Source organism: Homo sapiens, chromosome 5 (genome assembly GCF_000001405.40).
Source record: "Homo sapiens chromosome 5, GRCh38.p14 Primary Assembly".
Classification (NCBI taxonomy): domain Eukaryota; kingdom Metazoa; phylum Chordata; class Mammalia; order Primates; family Hominidae; genus Homo; species Homo sapiens.
Window position 1 is genome coordinate 81034145 of NC_000005.10, and position 22707 is coordinate 81056851.

The 22707-nt window shown below is 38.2% G+C and overlaps 1 protein-coding gene across 5 annotated transcripts in view; it reads left to right on the forward strand.

The window, feature by feature from the left end:
- The window catches only part of RASGRF2 (Ras protein specific guanine nucleotide releasing factor 2), a 269800-nt gene that overhangs the window by 73782 nt on the left and 173311 nt on the right, over positions 1-22707 (forward strand). For all 5 annotated transcript variants that reach the window (NM_006909.3, XM_005248565.2, XM_017009683.2 and 2 more), the window contains exon 2: positions 8733-8839. In NM_006909.3, the coding sequence (NP_008840.1) occupies positions 8733-8839 (107 nt within the window). The remainder of the gene's footprint in view (positions 1-8732; positions 8840-22707) is intronic.

Sequence of the window (22707 nt, forward strand, 5' to 3'; positions counted from 1 at the left end):
TACAGACACTTCTCAAAAGAAGACATTTATGCAGCCAAAAAACACATGAAAAAATGCTCACCATCACTGGCCATCAGAGAAATGCAAATCAAAACCACAATGAGATATCATCTTACACCAGTTAGAATGGCAATCATTAAAAAGACAGGAAACAACAGGTGCTGGAGAGGATGTGGAGAAATAGGAACACTTTTACACTGTTGGTGGGACGGTAAACTAGTTCAACCATTGTGGAAGACAGTGTGGCGATTCCTCAGGGATCTAGAACTAGAAATACCATTTGACCCAGCCATCCCATTACTGGGTATATACCCAAAGGACTATAAATCATGCTGCTATAAAGACACATGCACACGTATGTTTATTGCGGAACTATTCACAATAGCAAAGACTTGGAACCAACCCAAATGTCCAAGAATGATAGACTGGATTAAGAAAATGTGGCACATATACACCATGGAATACTATGCAGCCATAAAAAATGATGAGTTCATGTCCTTTGTAGGGACATGGATGAAATTGGAAATCATCATTCTCAGTAAACTATCGCAAGAACAAAAAACCAAACACCGCATATTCTCACTCATAGGTGGAAATTGAACAATGAGAACATATGGACACAGGAAGGGGAACATCACACTCTGGGGACTGTTGTGGGGTGGGAGGGGGGTAGGGATAGCATTGGGAGATATACCTAATGCTAGATGACAAGTTAGTGGGTGCAGTGCACCAGCATGGCACATGTATACATATGTAACAAACCTGCACATTGTGCACATGTACCCTAAAACTTAAAGTATAATAAAAATAAAAAAAAAGTCAGGAAACAACAGGTGCTGGAGAGGATGTGGAGAAATAGAAACACTTTTACACTGTTGGTGGGACTGTAAACTAGTTCAACTATTGTGGTGATTCCTCAAGGATCTAGAACTAGAAATACCATTTGACCCAGCCATCCCATTACTGTGTATATACCCAAAGGATTATAAATCATGCTGCTATAAAGACACAAGCACACGTATGTTTATTGCAGCACTCTCCACAATAGCAAAGACTTGGAACCAACCCAAATGTCCATCAATGATAGACTGGATTAAGAAAATGTGGCACATATATACCATGGAATACTATGCAGCCATAAAAAAGGATGAGTTCATGTCCTTTGCAGGGACATGGATGAAGCTGGAAACCATTATTCTGTGCATACTATCACAAGGACAGAAAATCAAACACCACGTGTTCTCACTCATAGGTGGGAATTGAACGATGAGAACACTTGGACATAGGGTGGGGAGCATTACACACCAGGGCCTGTCGTGGGGTGGGGCGAGTGGGGAGGGATAGCATTAGGAGATATACCTAATGTAAATGACAAGTTAATGGGTGCAGCACACCAACATGGCACATGTATACATATGTAACAAACCTGCATGTTGTGCACATGTATCCTAGAACTTAAAGTATAATTAAAACAAAATTAAAAAAAAAACAACTTAATAGACTGGCTAAGTTTATGCTAGATACAGCTGAATAGAGAATTGGTGAATTAGAAGAAAGTCTTAGATAATTCAATACAGTGAACAGAGAGATAAAGAAATGGAAAATACGAATGTAAAGGTGTTGTTAAGGCATACAGACAGTGGATTGAAAGATTCAAACATACATCCTATGGGAGTTACAGAAAGAGAGAATAGGGGGCATGGCAAATTAGTAATATTTGAAGAGATTGTGGCTGAGAACTCAAGCACTGAATTCAAGAAGCTAGAACCGCAGAACAAATATCCAAATAACAGATGTAAAAAGGAATATGGAGAAGAAATTAATAACACAGAAAAACAACAACAATAATCAAGAAGTCCTACTTATTTCAGAAGACATTTTTAGAATTACCATTTTTTAAAAAAGGCACAAATAACATTAAACATGGAGAAAATGTACCAACAAATGTTATAAAGAAAATAATTTGAAAACTTAGATGAAAAGGATAATTTAGAGGCAAATGTTTTTCATTTTGGTCTTTTTTCTTTTCCTGGTACTTACCTTCATATTTTAAAATAATATGCTTATAGAGGTATTTCTTGGGTTATGAATTTTAAATATTTCCTGGTGAATCGTTATAGTCATTGCAGATTTAGCTCTATTTTCCTCCTGCCATCTTCTTACCTTCTGCCTCCCACTCTCCTGTTCTGTATATATAATTATATCAATAATTTTGGTAAAATCAGTAATTTTGATTAACACTATGATGGAAATATTGTTATTAATTCTTATTAACACTATCATTGGAAATATTGTTTACTGCATAGCCATATAATATACACTATTTTTACTTTTACTTTTCTAGATAAGTTTATGTTTTCTTCCTGGAATTAATAATTGCCACCCCCCACATCCAATTTGCTTAGTTTTCTATTTGTATGTCCTTATTTTTTGGTAAATATTTAAATATGTCTGTGCCACTCTTAACTATAATTTTTTCACCAAATACTTAAGGACATTGTATACCTATTCCAGATATTTTATCAATTTTTTTTTAATCCCTAGTGGCTTCCTTTCTAGATACTCCCATCTTGTCCAAATTGAGCTGATTTCTGTCTGGATCTTCTGTACAGCTGTCATTCAGAGATTTTCCTATGTTACATTCCTGTGTTGGAACCATAGTTTCCTGACCCTCTGTATTTCTATTTCTTAGTTAATCCCTTTATTTGCAAAAGAATACATACAAGGACTTCCTTAGGAAGGGATTTGTATTAGTTCGTTCTCATGCTGCTAATAAAGACATACCTGAGACTGGGTAATTTACAAAGAAAGGAGATTTAATGGACTCACAGTTCCATGTGTCTGGGGTAGCCTCACAATCATGGCAGAAGATGAAGGAAGAGCAAAGGGATGTCTTACATAGCAGTCACAGAAGAGAGAGCTTGTGCAAGGCAACTCCCATTTACAAAACTATCAGATCTCATGAGATTTATTCACTATCATGAGAACAGTATGGGAGAAGCCACCCCCATGATTCAATTATCTCTCACCAGGTCCACACAACACATGAGAATTATGGGAGCTTACAGTTCAAGATGAGATTTGGGTGGGGACACAGCCAAACCATATCAGGATTCTACAAGGAATATTTTTCAAACTGTTAAAAAATATGTATTCTGCCCTAATACTTGATTGGTAGTTTAGTTGAATATAGAATTCTATGTTGAATATATTTTTTCCTCATGATATTAAAGGTGTTGCTCTACTTTCTTCCGGCAACTTCAATGCTATCCTAATTTCACATCCTTTTTATGTGGCTTCTTTATTTTCTGTCTCTCTCTGGAAGATTGTAGGATCCTCTTTTTGTCAGTCCTCTTCTGAAATTTCATGATGATGTCCCTTTGTGTGGATCTTTAGTTATTTGTTTTAAATTTATTGCACAATGTTAAGATACAAATATAAAGAAAGTTTAATATTTGTGTACTTTCACTCAACCTGGGATATAAAAAGATCAATACAAAATTGTTTATGTGAAATGATTGAGAGAAAGAGATTACAAATGAGGCAAAAAATGTTAAAAGGTGCACGTAGGTGAAGTCTTTATTGTGCTCTCGGAACATTTTTGAAGATTAAAAAAAGTCAAAATAAAAAGGTTTTTTTAAAGAAGAAAAATTCAGTTGAAATCCCATGTACCCCTCCTTGAAACCTCTTGCTATCCTTTCTCCCCTAAAGAAACCCATTATCTTCAGTTTAATGTTTATGTTTCCTTGTACTTCTTTATATTTTTCTAACTGTATACATATCTAAAAATAAATAGCTTGATATGCATAGTTTTAAGCCTTATGGAAATGATATCATACTGTATATAGTCAGAAACATTTTTTGCTCAACATTGAGTTGGTTCATCTATGCTGTTCCTTGTAGCTCTAATTATTCATTTTAATTGCTTTATGATATATTATTATACAGATATGCCTTGTAGTATTTATCCTTTCTCCTGTTGGTGGACATTTGGATTGATTCCAGTTTTTTTGTAATTATGAAATGTGAATATGTTTACTTGTACCAATATGTGATTGTTTCTTTATGGTATATGTGGAGGAGTGATATTGCTAAGGTGAGAGGATATGTGCATCATCAGCTTTGCCAGGTTTTGTCAAATTGCTTTCCAAAGGGCTTGTGCCAATTTGTGCAGCCATAGTATATAATTCTTTCCGGTGCTGTCTCCTTGTCAACAGTATTGTCAGGTGTTTTAATTTCTGTCCATCTAATGGGAATGAACTGTTATTTTTTTTTAGTTTTCATTTCCCTGATTATGAGTACAATTAAATGTCTTTTAAAATTTATTAATCATTTCTGTCTCATCGTCTGGGTATGGTGTGTTCATATTTTTTGCCTGTATTTATATTGAGTTTTAAAAAAATATTGATTTGTAAATATTTGCTTTTTTTTTTTTTTTTTTTTTTTGTAGAGATGGGGTCTCTCTATGTTGCCTAGGCTGAAGTGCAGTGGTGGGACCATGGCAAACTGCAGTCTCAAACTCTTGGCCTCCAGCAGTCCTCCTGCCTCAGCCTCCCAGGCAGCTGAGACCACAGGTGCATGCCACCATATCTGGCTAATTTTTAAATTTTCTGTAGAGATGGGGCTTTGCCATGTTGCCCAGGCTGGTCTCAAGCTCCTGGACTCAAGCAGTCCTCCTGCCTTGGCTCCTCAAATTGCTGGGATTACAAGCATGAGCCCCTGTGCCCGGCCTATATTCTTGACACTAATTTTTTTCAGTAAAATGTGTTGCAAGTATGTCTTTCAAATCTGTGGCTTGTCTTTTCACTTTTATGGGTATCATTTGTTGTATAAAAGTTTTACATTTTAATGCAATCAACATTTTCAATCTTTTTTTATGATTTGGGCTTTGTGTCTTGTTTAACAAATACTTTTCCATCCCAAGATCATAAAGATATTCTCTTATATTACTTTCTAAAAGTTTTAAAGTTTTACTTTTACCAGGATTTGACTCTTCCTTAGAATTAGATAATAACATTTTCTCCTTAGCCTATTCATATGGTAAGTTATATTAAAAGATTTCCTAGTATTTTACTGTATTTTGATTTTTCCAACTTTCTGATAGGCTTATGTTTAAAAATTGAGTAAAAGTGATTTAAAAGGGATATACCTAAAATATAAAAAGAGAACATTAAAAATAAAGTGATAGAAGAGACATAATAAGTAAACACTAACCAAAAGACAAAATTAGACTATGATGCCAAATGTATAATTTGGGCTAAAGAGGGCCACTATATCAATAAAATATTTAATTCATTAGAAAGTGTAGCAGGTCTAAACTTGTCCACACCCAATAATCTATATTATGCATTAAAACATGTAAAGCAAAAACTGACAGAACAAATGGAAAAAAATGTAAAGTGCCCCATTACATTGGATTTTAAACTGGCTGTCATTAATATAAACATCAATCAAAAAAGAAAAAACAATATAGAGCATATACATCTTTCAACTTATGAACTATATAGATCTTTATACATAAAAGTAATACAACCATAGAGGTTGTAAATATTAGTAAATCCATTAATATAACTTACCATATGTATAGGCTAAGAAGAAAAACCACATGATTATATTTATTAATGATATTATCCTTTTTATACAAATTGCTTATATTTTTCCCACATGTCTTTATGCATTGCTTACAGTAGTTTTGTTATGCAGAAGTGTTTTATTTTTGTGTAATCAAATCATTAGTCTTAATGCTTCCGGATTTCGAGTCCTAGTTAGGACAGTTTGTCCTATTCAGAGGTACAGCGTCATTCACTCATTTAAAAAAATACTCATATGGCTTAATTTTTTTTACATTAACTTTTTTGTTTGTTTGTTTTGAGACAGGGTCTTGCTCTGTTGCCCAGGCTAGACTGCAGTGGCCCAATTACTGCTCACTGCATCCTGCAGCCTTGACTTCCTGGGCTCAAGCAATCCTTCCACCTCAGCCTCCTGAGTAGCTGGGACTATAGGCATATGCCACCATGCCTAGCCAATGTTTTCATTTTTATTTTTGTAGAAACAGGGTCTCATTATATTTCCCAGGATGATCTCAAACTCCTGGGCTCAAGCGATCCTCCTGTCTCAGCCTCCAAAAGTGGTGCGATTACAGGTGTGAGCCACCATGCTTAATTTATTTTTTTAAGTGACTTGATACTATTCCTCAATTAGGGAAATGGAATTGTTGGGAAATAAGCAGAAGAGGAATAAGATACTTTATAATGTCTTACTACTACTGATAGTAATATTATAACTAGTATTTGATATTGTTGTAATAATTATCAATACAATAGAGCATTAACGTTTCTGATGCATTTGGAAATTATCCTGGTGTATGGTAGAGATGGGGGAGAGTTTTTCTAGTCTCTGTTACACGGAGGTGGTAACCCTTCATATGTCCTGATGTTATGCATGGATCTTAGCTCCAACTTGGTGCCCTGCACAGGGCCAAGACCATGGGGGCCAAGGCCCCCACCCCCTTGGATGTTAGAACCTTGGTTCCTGTGCTTTTTGCTATGGCTTTGCCTCTCATTTTTGTTTCTACACCTGAGGATTCCTTTTTTCTCCCCCTGCTTTAGCTTGATGTATGTTTCACCCAGTTTGGGATTTTCCCTCAGCTTGGTTTACTGCTTTGCCATACTTTGGTTCACAGTGGTTAGGAACTTGTAGAGGACATATCCTAAGGGGCTTGGAAATAAAATGGGGTAGAGATGAGCATTAACTCTGGAAGCACTATTAGTTTTTCTGGATCTAGTGGCTTGTTTTAAAGCATTTTGAAACTTTATAGGCTAGAGCATATCTTCAGATAGCCCATGTGTTCAATTACGACTTAAAAATGTCTGAGATTGGCCAGGCACAGAGGCTCACGCCTGTAATCCCAGCATTTTGGGAGGCTGAGGTGGGCAGATCACCAGGTCAGAAGTTCGAGACCAGCCTGACCAACATGGTGAAACTTCGTCTCTACCAAAAATACAAAAAGTAGCCAGGCGTGGTGGCACATGCCTGTAATCCTAGCTACTCAGGAGGCTGAGGCAGGAGAATCACTTGAACCAGGGAGACGGAGGTTGCAATGAGCCGAGATCACGCCACTGCACTCCAGCCTGGGAGACAGAGCAAGACTCCGTCTCAAAAAAAAAAAAAAAAAAATCTGAGATTGTACTGACTGATCGTGATCTACTGGGTGTACTGTTATTCGTGAATATTGTCAAAGGGCAATGCATCTTCAACTTAAGACATCTGTCACTTTGTCTAATTCAAAGCACACTCTAAACTCAATATACATATATATTTCTGCATATTTTACATGAGAATTCTCCACATCTTAACATAGATTATTCCAAGCTGATTGTAAAAAATTTCTGCTTTAGAACTGTGATCTGAGGACTCTCCTTGTTGTAAAGTTCCCCATTCCATGTCTGTCTTTGCTGGAACATGGAGTGGTTTAGTAAACTAGCATGAGTTTGGGAGTCTTTGAATCTTGGTTATATGATTATCTCTGTTGTGGAATCCTGAGAAGCCATTTACAAATTTTTATCTTCGTATTTATAGTATAAAATTGTCCCTTTTTTGGTGCACAGTTCTATGAATGTAAACACATGCTTGGATTTGCGTAACCTCCATAATCAGTATGTAGAACCATTTTATCACTGCGTAAGCTCCCTCATGCGATTCCTTTGTGGTCACACACTCCCACCCCTGACCTCTGGAAACCCCTGATCTGTTCTCTATCCCTATTTTACGAATATCACACAACAGGAATCATATATAGTATGTAACCTTTTGAGACTGACTTTTCTATTCAACCTGATGCTTTTGCTCCATGTTATTGTTTTTATCAAGAATTCTTCTTTTTTTAATTGCTGAGTAATATTCCATTGTTTGGATGTATTGCATTTATTTATTCACTCACCGATTAAAGGATATTTAGGTTGTTTCCAGTTTTTGGTGATTATGAATAAGGCTTATATGAGAGAAATTATTTTACCCCTGATAAATGCCAGTTTTTTCCCTACTTGAGCCCAGTTCCTTTCATCCAACAATAACTTACATTACACCTCTGCCAAAAAGAAATCCTGATCACATCTTGACCCCTAGGATGGCAATTACATTTCCTTTCCCGTGTCAAGTATGCATTCTGGAATACTGTGTTGAACAGAATTGCAAGGCTACCTCTGGGAAAACAGGGGTATAAGCAATTGATGACATCTGCTAAGGTTGCAGAAGAGGCAAATGGCAGCAATTGGACTGCATAATTATAGGCATATTGCTTCCCAGAATGGAGAATAGATATAGAATAGAACAGACAATAAAATTAGCTAGTGCAGTGATGTAGACTTCTGCGTTCCTGCAGCTTTATCACACCACAAAAAAGGAAAACCTTTTGGAAAATATCATATTACCTTTCATTTATCTGCATAGCCGAATTTGTGCAATATTCTTTTTTGTACATTATAGAAAGGTACATTAAAGGAGTGTTAAGGGTTGACCCTTACTGAGGTGTGTTAAGATGCAGTCTGTGGTATCTTCTAGGTGCAGAGTCATTGCCAACTGGACCCAGAGTGAAATGTTACATTTTGAAATAAAATTTGCATAAGCACTGATGCATTTTGTAAATATGTACCCTTTGTAGGCAGATACTGTGTTATTATGCTGTTGTGCTTGAAAAATAGAACTAAGTTTTTTGTGTTTCTTTTTCTTTCCAGTATTACTTTACTGTTCTTTTTGGCCATGAAGGTCAGAAGCCACTGGAGCTGCGCTGTGAGGAGGAGCAGGATGGTAAAGAGTGGATGGAGGCCATTCACCAAGCCAGGTATAGGCTCAGTCTTCCTGTGTAGTACTTGATTGTCTGGGTCCTGCATTGGGGTTATCACTGTTGGTGGTAGTTTTGGAAGAACTTGCAACTCTAAGATGAGTTTTCTCCTGGTACCTATTCCTTAGTCATGTGTGAGATCATTATTTGAGCTTTCCATGGCTACATTCCAGCTAAAGATTAATGGTAATAGATACAATGATAATAATAAGTAGTAGTAGTAGTCACTTTTGTGGATTTCTTCCTATGTGCCAAGCACTATTATATGTGCTTTTCAATTACAGAATGTATTGAATGTATTGACTCACTCTGTCAACAATCGGCAAGAGGGGCATTATAATTCCCCCTGTCTGCAGATAAGGAAACTGAGGCCTGGAAAGTTAGTTTTCCTGCCTGAGGTCACACAGCTAGTAAGCCACAGAGCTGGGATATGGCCCTAGCCTAGCCTACATTTGTAAACCCTGCTCTGTGCACCTCGGTTATCAAAAGAAGGGGATGACATCCTCTATTTAAAGAAATAGAACACTGTGATTTCGCTTCCCCCTAAGAAACATCAGGAAGGTGGAAATGTGTGTACAGGGTCTTAAACGGGAACTAGAAATCTGAAAGAGATACAAGGCAGGTCCCTCTCTCTTATTTTCCTATTCAATCCCTAAACCTGGTTCAGTTTTGTTTCCCATGGCTCTCAAGCTCTTGCTTTTTGCCTGTCCACTCCCTAATCCAGGCTGTTGCTCCACTACTCCCTGCTCTCTTGTCTTGCTCATCTCTTGGGTATTTTGGGGCAACACTCTAGCTGTGGCATGCTTTCTTTTTCTTCACCTGATGAGCCTTCCCTTCTCCATCTGTCTGTTCCTCCCTCTACCACTCCCGCCCTGAGACATCTCCCTGCAAGTCAGCCCTCACTGGCGCCCTCTTCAAATGGCTGCAGCACTTGCATTGTGTACTGCACGTGGGCGATTTAGCAATTCTGGTTATCATTACTTTTTTAATATAGTGAATGTGTTAGATTTCTGTTTCCTGAGTGGGATTGTATACACCTTGAGAATGAGGAGAGGGATTGGGGCACATTCATGTCTGAGTGAAGCGCATTGCTAATTATGTAGTAGGTGATCAGGAGATTTCTTCAGTTTGATTGTAAGAATGAGGCATTTAGGCTGGGCACAGTGGCTCATGCCTGTAATCCCAGCACTTTGGGAGGCTGAAGTGGGCAGATCACCTGAGGCCAGGAGTTTGAGACCAGCCTGGCCAACATGGTGAAACCCCGTCTCTACTAAAAATATAAAAATTAGCCGGGCATGGTGGCACACGCCTGTAGTCCTAGCTACTTGGGAGGCTGAGGTGGGAGAATTGCTCAGACCTGGGAGTTGGAGGATACAGTGAGCCAAGATCACACCACTGCACTCCAGTCTTGGGGAGAGAGCAAGACTCCATCTAAAAAAAAACCACACACACAATGAGGTATTTATTCTGAGTGAGTTCAGGCTGTTCTTTGAACCCTTGACGCTTTCTCTGAAAGTCTGCCCTCCCCTTCCCTCGTCTCACCTCTATTCTCCCTACCCTCTTCAGCTACTTATATTTACCACCTTCTCTGACAAGCAGTGTGCCAAGTGTTTTATGTACTTATCTTTTTTTATTCTTCACAATAAGCTAATAGGATATTATTATCCCCATTTTACAGAGGAGAAAACAAAAATTTGTGACAGGCATATTGGCCAAGTTCTAACACAAAGTTGTTAAGCTGCAGATCTGGGATTCAAACCCAAGTTGAATTGGGTTTGGACTTCAGAACCTTTAGCTAATGTTCAATATTGTACTTATCTTCGTTATCCTCTTTATCACTACAGTCTTTTCTTGTTCTATTTTTTTTTTCTTTTCCTCATTCAAAGACGAAAGTAGATTAATGTGAGACTAGGGTTGAGAGTAGAAGATGTTATTTGCAAAATATTTCAGTTCCTTTTCTTTCTCTGAGATGCATGGGGCTGGCAACTAAGTGCCACTCTCCATGTGGACCCCAGGAGAGCTTGCCACGAGTCATCATGACCCCGGCACATGGTTCAGCCGTCCTTGCTCTTGGTGCTCTCTGTTTGAGGGTTTTGATCCAGACTTAGGACTAATGCAGAATGACTTGCTGTAGAAAGAAAGTCAGGCCTTCAAAGATGAAAGAAGCATCAAGCTGGCAAGGTAGAGCCCTTGGGTCATTTCCAGACACAATCTTTTCCTTTCTACAATCTCTATTCCTTTCTACCTAGGAGTTAAAATACATAATTTAAAACATGCCTGTTTTCCTATCTTTTTCATTCCAGGAGAGCAGGCACCATCAGTAGCCCAAATGCCTTTGTAGTTGTCAAGCAAATATCTTGGTGAACCAAACACAAATAATGCAAATTGCTTTAAAGATGATTAGATTCCAAGTAAGAAATCTTTTTTTCTGTCCCAGGAATGCATTTTATCATCTACAGGAAACTGAGTCAGTAATTATTTGGTGGTGTTTGACATACAGTCAAAACCAGGGCATGTGTGATGTTGTCAGGAGACAGACTTTAGAAACCACTTAAGTGGTTTAGATGATACAATGGTGAAAATTCTTTTCTTTTTAGATTTGAAGATTTGGTTAATAATTGACTTTTTCCCTTGATGTTTTGACTTTTTGGTCCATTAGGTTTGCTTTTCCCTTGACTTGAGACCTAGGACTGGGTTCTTTGATAATTTCTTTTAATCTGACTGCTTTATACTGTGTTTTTATATTTTCTGTTTTGCATTGAGATATTTCTTAAATTTTTGTTTTCTAAATCAGGGAAGAAAACTTTTTTATCTAAGCTTGATTAAGTTGAGTTTTTGGTTTAAACTTGGATCTGCAAAATTCACCTTGATTTTGTTCATGTATGAACAAAGCCAGAAAGTTAATGAAGCTGATTCAGAGCAAGAATTATCAGCCATTTTTGCTTGGCATTGTAATAAAACACAATTAATTAATTATGGTTGGTTGACTTAACATTTCACCCTCGAAAGACAGTCTGATGGCATTAATTCAGTACTGCTGCCTTTCTAATATAAAAGTTTTAAATACTCAATATTTATGGTTTTATTGATCCTTTTTTAAAAAATCAAAACTTTTGATTAGTTTAGCATGAGATGTTCTTTTCTGAGCTACAAATCCTCCTGTAGATGCCACTTAGATACAAAGACTGCTCAGAACCCCTTCTCTCATTTACTTTTGTTTTCCTGGGATGGCTTTTCAGTACCAGCCTGGGTGTGCTGTCTTTGTGTGCTATGAACATCACATTGTTCTGTTGGCTTTCGTATCTCAGAGCAGAATCTACTTGCCCCACTTTGCCTTCAGAGAATCTTAGGGTCATTTTCTGGGATGTCCCATTGCATGTTTTCTCCTTTAGATCTGGCCCAGAAAAAAAAAATCGTTTTGGAATTAACATTTTTCATTTTGAAGCTTTGACCAGTCCAAGAAGCTCATTTTAATGTTTTGCTTACCATTGGCCAATACTGCATTTCTAGAACACGGGCACATTTAGGATATCATTTTACCACATGTTATGGCACTAGTTCAGGGGACGCTGCTACCGAGACCCAGTCTTGTTTTTGTCTGGTTGAGTTGAGGCCAGAGCCTTTTCATAGTAGTTAAGTCTATGCTTATTTTATGTGGTTGCTACTTGAGTATGGAACTCTGGACATAAAAAATAACCTGATATTTCTTCTTTGTTTTCTTGTCCATAAGTGTCCATCATGGTTGATTTAGTTGTAGACACTAGGACAATCAAAAACTGACCTGGTTGATTGTGAGTCCTTAGGGCTTGTTAGCTGAAAAGACAACTCTTCAATGTTTCATCTGCTAGAACATGGACCAAGCAAAGTATCAGCAGTTAGGAGATAGTCATGGCCTGGACATGGATCCAGTTGTATATCTTCCAAGGGTCTTCCCATCCTTGACTAAGCCTAATACCCACAGGACCTAGACTATGACATTTGGGAAGAAACGAGGAAGGTTCTCCAGAGATGTAGGGGGTAGACTTCAAGGGACTTTGTGACTATCTGGATTTGAGCAGTATTAGACTAGGGTGGCATCTAACACATCTCTCAGGCCCCTAGCTTGGACGGTGTCACTCTTTGGGAGAAGAAATGATGAATGAGGACAGGTTTGTGGGCAAAGATGATGAGCATTGGCCAGGAAATGTTGGGCAATTTCTGCTGGAAATTGGAAGAGTATGATTATCGCTGGGAAAGGAAGGAAACTGTGAGACACTGAATTGATCCCTTGGCGTGTGGGGTATGAGAGAATGAGTATCCAGGGGGCTGATAGAGAAGTAAGGTGTATCCTGAGGAGGGAGGAGAGTTTGGGTTTCTACCAAGGTGGAGGGATTGGGAAAACAGATATTGAGAATGTTGAGCCTAGCACAGAGCACTGTTGAATGTGTGTAGCTTTGCACACCCTGCAGATGGCTTGTGTGTCCTGTGTTTGAAACTGTCCCACTATCTTTTGCCTGCTTTCTGATTTCTTCAGCTGAACCTGCTCAAATCTCCACCTCGATTCTCTTCCCTCCCCTCAGGGTGTATCTTGAGCAGGCAGATCGTAGGTTTTCCTTTAAGGGCAGAGCATACAAAAGGAAAAAAGAATTACAAAAAGGAATATGTTTCCACTCCATAAAGCTCACAGTCAGATGGTGTTTGGCAAGGGCCTGACCTAACCCTTTGTTTCACCCTGTCAGTCTCCAACCTGACGAGCAGAGAGACTTTATCATCCAGTTAAACCTTTCAATTAAGCCTTATTCTCTTTTCCAGTAAAGAAAGCTGTAATGCAGCCTCTTGGATCTGTTTTTAATGTTTAGTCTTTTTGATTACCTGTGTCTGAGACAGCTGTTGTTCATTCTCTCTCTCCCTTAAAATACACACACATGCACACACACACAGTGTGGTAGCTGCACCAAACACCCAGAACCTAATGCTTGTGGTCTCATCCTTGGAAAAAGGCTTAATTTGCAGCAAGGTATATAGTATAAAAATCTGTACAGCACTAAAGGCTGCTGTGTATATCATATCCTCCCCTTAAAATCAGCCCTTTAGAGAATGCACACAGAGAGAAATCCCTCACAAATCAGAGAAGAGTGATGACATAGAAAAGCTGAAAATGTTTCATGTGTCACAGCAACATCACAAGACTAGAAAAATTAGAGATGGACAGTGATGTTATAGCCTAAAGCAATCCAACACCATAGTTTGTATTCTTCCTGTAACAGTAAAACTGTCACTACTTTAAAGATGAAAATGTGGATTTTGTTCATTTAAGGTATTATTATTATTATTTGCTAAGAAATTCTGTCAGGGCTTTGCCTTCATATTTGCCACAATGAAAGATAATTCAACATTTTTTTTCCTTTTACAGCCTACAGAGTGCAACATGAAAGAGAAGGGATACTACTAAACTACTAAACTGTGAAATATTTCACTTGATTTGATGGTTACAATTGTTTTCTATAGGGAAAAGTCGGGCTTGAATTTTCTTATTTTAATACTTTGTTAATACTTTCGTCAGCTGTCTTTCCAACTTCTCAGTGTTTTTGTTTCAAGTGCTTGTCTTGCACATTTAGCATCCAGCTGAAAAGGCAGTCAGACCTTCTGCCTACACTCACCGGGCAGGTGCCCCGTCCTCATGCGCACACCATCTCACCTGCAGGAGGGAGCCATCCTCATGATTCTCTTTGCCTGCTCCAGGAGAACCATCCCCGGTTCAAGACAAATTTCTACTTTGAGCTCTCTCTCTGATTTCTTGCTCCATTACTTATTCCATTTCTCTCTTATATTTCCAGTCTGTTTATTCCTCGCTCCTTACCTTTTTTTCCTGTATTTTTTGGATCTCCTAAAAATCTCTCCTGTCTTGTAAGAGAAATTAAAGCCTTTTCTTGGCACTGAATACTCCTCTAGCTACTGTCTTCTCTTGCACATGCAGCCCGGCTTCTTGAAGAAATGGTTCGGTTGCTCTCCTAGGCACGCAGCTCTTCCTCTCTCCAGCTCTTCCTGGTGGGTTTTGTCCCTACTCTACTATAACTGTTGTCACCTGGGTCAACAATGAATTTCCAAAGCTTTTCTTTCCTTATATAACTTCAACTTTCTGTTCATATTTAATACTTACTTTTGAATTACACCAGTAATACATAAAAGCAAGTTCCCTAAAAAAAAAAAAAAAAAAAAAAATTCAGACAATACAAAAGTAAAGAGTTATAGTTCCACCCCCTCCCCCTTTATTCCCCAAGCCCATTTACTTCCTCAGAAGTATTTACTGGTAACAGTTTGGAGTGCATACTTCCAGATTTTTCTGTATATTTGCATATGGATAGATAGGTAGAATGATATAATTACAGACTTTTTATTTGCTATTCATATTATTCGCCATCTTTTTATGCTAATTTGGAGGGTTTCTTTTAACATTAGTTTATAGGGATCTAAGTCTTATCTCGAAATTTTCATTCCTTTTGTTTACGATGTCTCTCCCTCCTGATTCTCCCTTTACTCCTTTGACAATTTCTTCTTGTCCTATTTCACTACTCCTTGTGTTCTGTCCCTTTCTTTACTGTGGCTGCTATGTAGGGCTTTGCTTTTGCTCTTCCTGTCTCGTCACTTGGATCCATTCCCCAGACTTAGGTCGTGTAGATAGAGCTGCTCTTTCTCAATACTTTCTCTGCTAAATACCATGCTATGTGCATGATATCTCATGAAGTAGCTGGCACTATCCCCAGGAAATCTGAGTATTGGAGAGATGAAATGACCTCCTGAGGGCCACCAGTCTAGTAAACGATAGAGCTGGAATCAAGTCCTGGGCAGGCTGACTCCAAAACCTATGCACTTAACCACAAAGATATATAGCCTCCATTATATGTAGAAATTCACCAACATGTATTTTTCTATATTGAACTATCTATATATCATCTCTCCCTGGGTGCTCAGAATTACTTGATACTAAGCAAGACAAACCCAAACTCATGTATTTCTCTAGGCAGCTTCATGTTCCCTTCCTGGATAGGAATGTAAGGCATACTCTCCTGTACACTCAGTCACTCAAACCAGCAGGATATCATCCCCTGACCCCAGCCTAACTGCTCACTGCAGTCACCACTTGTGGATTCTACCCCAGAACATCACTGGTCTGCGTTTCTCCACATGTCTGCAGCATTGCCCTGGTGCAGGCCATCAACACTGATTGCCTGTCCTATTGCTCTGCCACCTCGCCTGTCTCTTCCAGGTCGGCTTCCTTCCCATCGATTCTCTACAGTTACTAGAGTGCCCTTTCTAAGCAAACATCTGATCTGCTGAAGGAATTCCGGGGTTCCCAGTTGCTTTTAGTTATTATAATTCAATTTACTTCTTATTGTAGAAAATTTTAAATATATACAGAGAAAGAGAGATAACAGTCCTCCATGTTGCTTTAAGAAGAGAAAATATTCATTATTTCACTGATATTTATTGCTTCCCTACCCAATGCTAGGCTTTGCTCTGAGTTCTGGGATGGAGTGAGCCAGTCCAAGCGAGGCCCCTCTGAGCTGACCTCTGCGAACTCCTCGTGCCACCCCTCCCCTTATGTCCTGGGCTCCAGCTGGAGCCACCACATACAGGAATTTTAATGTGTGGGAATGTCTCTTCCAGTCTGACTTACACCAACACATCTTTCAGGATGGAGCTCTTAGCAGCTTGCATCTTTCCTGGTCCTCTTCCTCTACGAGCAGGAAGGGCTGACCATTCCCTTCTTTGAGCCCTCACTGTAACTTCTTATTTCGCTCGAAGCACCTAAGAAATTATTGCATTGATTTGTTTATGTGTCTGTATCTCTCTGTCAACCTGAATTCCTTCAAAGCAAATTGTGTACTACTCATCTTTTGTGCCCTGCCCCAGTACAGTGCCAAATTGCTTTTCAGAAATGCATGTACTGATTTAATCTCCCTCCATTAGGGCAGAAGAAAGCTGGAATCATTTTTTAAAATCTTTACTATATCAGTGGGTTAAAAATGATATATTAGTATAATAAGCATTTTCTTGATTATTGATAAGATTGTGTTTTGCTATCACTAATATCTGTCTATATTTACTATATAAATTATCATCTCATGTCCTTTTCCCATTTTTTGGTATTGGTGTTTTTCTAGAAGTTTTTAAATAAGCTCTTTGTATGACAAAAATATATTCATCTTTTATGTTTGTTCAAATCACCCTGCATCATTTTTTTGTCTTGTAGTTATACCTATGGGATTTTTTTGACATTAGAGTTTTTGAATTAAAATGCAATCAAAGTATATTACTTTTGGGGGGAAGTTGTTCTATTGCTTTTTAAAAATATTTTTTAAAATCAAGATATACTTCATATACCATGAAGTTTATCATTTTAAAGTGTATAATTCAGTGCTTTTCTAGTACAGTCACAAGGTTGTACAACCATCACCACTAATTTCGGAGCATTTTCAACACCACAAAAGAAACCCCATATCCGATAGCTGTCACTCTCAATTCCCCACTTCCCCTAGCTCTAGCCAACCACTAATCTCCTTTCTGTGTTTATGGATTTGCTCATTCTGGACATTTCATATAGATGGAATCCTACAAACATTTTGTGTCTGATTTCTTTCACTTAGCATAATGTTTCCAAGCTTCGTCAATGTGGTAGCATATATTAGTACTTCATTCCTTTTAATGGCTGAATTCTATTCCACTGTATGGATATACCACATTTTATTTATCTACTCAGTTGATGGCCATTTAGGTTGTTCCCACTTTTTGCTAGTATGAATAATGTTGCTATGAATATTTGTGTGCATTTGTACATGAACATATGTTATCAACTCTCTTGGGTATATGCCCAGGAGTGGAATTGCCATGTCATTTGGTAACTCTATGTTTAACTTTTTGAGGAGATGCCAAACTGTTTTCTACAGTGGCTGCACCATTTTACATTCCCACCAGCTACGTATTGAGGGTGCCAGTTTCTTCACATCCTTACCAACACTTATTTTCGTTGCTTTTTTGCTTAGAGTCTTTATACGTTCTCATATATAAACCCCTTTAATCTATTCTTGTTGAATTAATATAGTTGTATCTGTATTCTTGCTGGAGAATTTTCTGTGATGATAAAGATAATTCTACCAATACCTGCTTGTGCACATGGAACAGAAATGAAAGTCTCAGTGTTAGGAAAGAATCATTAATGTCTATTGTGATACAAAACATTTTCTTCAGCTTCATAATATAGTACTATAAAAGATATTTACTTTTAGAAGCACTCCTTAAAATTTCTCTGTTCCAAGGTAATAATTTTACCATTAGTGATGTTCTGTTGTATTTCCTAGTAAAAATATTTTGCCTGCTTTTATATTTAATTGTGCTTTAGAAAGGATTATCGACAACTTTCCACATGTCCCAAAGTTTAGTGAAATGTTTAAGTAACGAACTGTGACTGTGAACAGGAAAGAAGGAGCAATGTTTAGAAGAGGGGTTTTTAGTCTTTAATTTTTGTTCCTCTTTTTGATCTCTCTTAACTAAGATGCTTGTGTTTCCATTTACTGTAGAGCAGACAGCTTAGGAGGGAAGAGTCTGTCAGTAGAGAGAAGACATTGGTGGAGGTGACAGTGTTAGGACCTCATGTTAATGTGATATCTAAAAAATATTAATTAGCCAATGAAGTGGAGATACTGACAGGAGAGAACTTGAGAACCAGAAACAGTATGTGACAGTAATGCTGAAGGGGTGTGAGTAAAGATAGAGAAACTGGCCTTGCTTAGGTAAGGTCAAAGCAAATGTTGCTTTGATAGGAGCTGTACTATTGTCATCCATGCTTGGATTTTCTCCACTCCCAAAGGCCTCATGATTCTCCTGGCATGAGGAACGCTGATTCCAAACAGTTTTCTGGATAAAATTTAGCATAACCCTGGAGATAGGTGGAGTTTTTCTTTCTTTCTTTTTTTTATTCTAAGTAGTCTTTATTCTCTGTGCACATATATACAAACAAACCACAGAGATATCTCTCCCCATAAATTAGATTCTTAAGTGACTTTTACATTAAACAAATATTAAGAAAGTATGATAATTACTTGAGTTGTGTTAAATTCTTCCTTTAATTAAGAAATAAAGCCCACAATGGATAAGATAATTCTTTTCTTTTTTTTAATTATACTTTAAGTTCTAGGGTACATGTGCACAACCTGCAGGTTTGTTACATATGTATACATGTGCCATGTTGGTGTGCTGCACCCATTAACTCATCATTTACATTAGGTATATCTCCTAATGTTTTCCCTCCCCCCTCCCCCCACCCCATGACAGGCCCCAGTGTGTGATGTCCCCCTTCCCATGTCCAAGTGTTCTCATTGTTCAATTCCCACCTATGAGTGAGAACATGCGGTGTTTGGTTTTTTGCTCTTGCGATAGTTTGCTGAGAATGATGGTTTCCAGCTTCATCCATGTCCCTACAAAGGACATGAACTCATCCTTTTTTATGGCTGCATAGTATTCCATGGTGTATATGTGCCATATTTTCTTAATCCAGTCTATCATTGATGGACATTTGGGTTGGTTCCGAGTCTTTGCTATTGTGAATAGTGCTGCAATAAACATACGTGTGCATGTGTCTTTATAGCAGTATGATTTATAATCCTTTGGATATATACCCAGTAATGGGATGACTAGGTCAAATGGTATTTCTAGTTCTAGATCCCTGAGGAATCGCCACACTGTCTTCCACAATGGTTGAACTAGTTTACAGTCCCACCAACAATGTAAAAGTGTTTCTATTTCTCCACATCCTCTCCAGCACCTGTTGTTTCCTGACTTTTTAATGATCACCATTCTAACTGGTGTGAGATGGTATCTCATTGTGGTTTTGATTTGCATTTCTCTGACGGCCAGTGATGGTGAGCATTTTTTCATGTGTCTGTTGGCTGCATAAATGTCTTCTTTTGAGAAGTGTCTGTTCATATCCTTCACCCACTTGTTGATGGGGTTGTTTGTTTTTTCTTGTAAATTTGTTTGAGTTCTTTGTAGATTCTGGATATTAGCCCTTTGTCAGATGAGTAGATTGAAAAAATTTTCTCCCATTCTGTAGATTGCCTGTTCACTCTGATGGTAGTTTCTTTTGCTGTGCAGAAGCTCTTGAGTTTAATTAGATCCCATTTGTCAATTTTGGCTTTTGTTGCCATTGCTTTTGGTGTTTTAGACATGAAGTCGTTGCCCGTGCCTGTGTCCTGAATGGTATTGCTTAGGTTTTCTTCTAGGGTTTTTATGGTTTTAGGTCTAACATGTAAGTCTTTAATCCATCTTGAATTAATTTTTGTATAAGGTGTAAGGAAGGGATCCAGTTTCAGCTTTCCACATGTGGCTAGCCAGTTTTCCCAGCACCATTTATTAAATAGGGAATCCTTTCCCCATTTCTTGTTTTTGTCAGGTTTGTCAAAGATCAGATGGTTGTAGATGTGGGGTATTATTTCTGAGAGCTCCGTTCTGTTCCATTGGTCTATATCTCTGTTTTGGTACCAGTACCATGCTGTTTTGGTGACTGTAGCCTTGTAGTATAGTTTGAAGTCAGGTAGCGTGATGCCTCCAGCTTTGTTCTTTTGGCTTAGGATTGTCTTGGCAATGCAGGCTCTTTTTTGCTTCCATATGAACTTGAAAGTAGTTTTTTCCAATTCTGTGAAGAAAGTCATTGGTAGCTTGATGGGGATGGCATTGAATGTATAAATTACCTTGGGCAGTATGGCCATTTTCATGATATTGATTCTTCCTATCCATGAGCATGGAATGTTCTTCCATTTGTTTGTGTCCTCTTTTATTTCGTTGAGCAGTGGTTTGTAGTTCTCCTTGAAGAGGTCCTTCACATCCCTTGTAAGTTGGATTCCTAGGTATTTTATTCTCTTTGAAGCAATTGTGAATGGGAGTTCACTCATGATTTGGCTCTCTGTTTGCTTGTTATTGGTGTATAGGAATGCTTGTGATTTTTGCACACTGATTTTGTTTCCTGAGACTTTGCCGAAGTTGCTTATCAGCTTAAGGAGACTTTGGGCTGAGACGATGGGGTTTTCTAAATATACAGTCATATCATCTGCAAACGGGGACAATTTGACTTCCTCTTTTCCTAATTGAATACCCTTTATTTCTTTCTCCCACCTGATTGCCCTGGCCAGAACTTCCAACACTATGTTGAATAGGAGTGCTGAGAGAGGGCATCCCTGTCTTGTGCCAGTTTTCAAAGGGAATGCTTCCAGGTTTTGCCCATTCAGTATGATATTTGCTGTGGGTTTGTCATAGATAGCTCTTATTATTTTGAGATACGTCCCATCAATACCTAATTTATTGAGAGTTTTTAGCATGAAGGGCTGTTGAATTTTGTCAAAGGCCTCTTCTGGATCTATTGAGATAATCATGTGGTTTTTATCGTTGGTTCTGTTTATATGCTGGATTACGTTTATTGATTTTGGGTATGTTGAACCAGCCTTGCATCCCAGGGATGAAGCCCACTTGATCATGGTGGATAAGCTTTTTGATGTGCTGCTGGATTCAGTTTGCCAGTATTTTATTGAGGATTTTTGCATCGATGTTCATCAGGGATATTGGTCTAAAACCCTCTTTTTTGTGTGTGTGTCTCTGCCAGGCTTTGGTATCAGGATGACGCTGGCATCATAAAATGAGTTAGGGAGGATTCCCTCTTTTTCTATTGATTGGAATAGTTTCAGAAGGAATGGTACCAGCTCCTCTTTGTACCTCTGGTAGAATTCGGCTGTGAATCTGTCTGGTCCTGGACTTTTTTTGGTTGGTAGGCTATTAATTATTGCCTCAAATTCAGAGCCTGTTATTGGTCTATTCAGGGATTCCACTTCTTCCTGGTTTAGTCTTGGGAGGGTGTATGTGTCCAGGAATTTATCCATTTCTTCTAGATTTTCTAGTTTATTTTCGTAGAGGTGTTTATAGTATTCTCTGGTGGTAGTTTGTATTTCTGTGGGATCAGTGATATCCCCTTTATCATTTTTTATTGTGTCTATTTGATTCTTCTCTCTTTTCTTCTTTATTAGTCTTGCTAGTGGTCTATCAATTTTGTTGATCTTTTCAAAAAACCAGCTCCTGGATTCATTGATTTTTTGAAGGGTTTTTTATGTCTCTATCTCCTTCAGTTCTGCTCTGATCTTAGTTATTTTTTGCCTTCTGCTGGCTTTTGAATGTGTTTGCTCTTGCTTCTCTAGTTCTTTTAATTGTGATGTTAGGGTGTCAGTTTTAGATCTTTCCTGCTTTCTCTTGTGGGCATTTAGTGCTATAAATTTCCCTCTACACACTGCTTTAAATGTGTCCGAGAGATTCTTGTATGTTGTGTCTTTGTTCTCATTGGTTTCAAAGAACATCTTTATTTCTGCCTTCATTTCATTATGTACCCAGTAGTCATTCAGGAGCAGGTTGTTCAGTTTCCATGTAGTTGAGCGGTTTTGAGTGAGTTTCTTAATCCTGAGTTCTCGTTTGATTGCACTGTGGTCTGAGAGACAGTTTGTTATAACTTCTGTTGTTTTACATTTGCTGAGGAGTGCTTTACTTCCAACTATGTGGTCAGTTTTGGAATAAGTGCGGTGTGGTGCTGAGAAGAATGTATATTCTGTTGATTTGGGGTGGAGAGCTCTGTAGATGTCTATTAGGTCTGCTTGGTGCAGAGCTGAGTTCAATTCCTGGATATCCTTGTTAACTTTCTGTCTCGTGGATCTGTCTAATGTTGACAGTGTGGTGTTAACGTCTCCCATTATTATTGTGTGGAAGTCTGAGTCTCTTTGTAGGTCTCTAAGGAGTTGCTTTATGAATCTGGGTGCTCCTGTATTGGGTGCCTATATATTTAGGATAGTTAGCTCTTC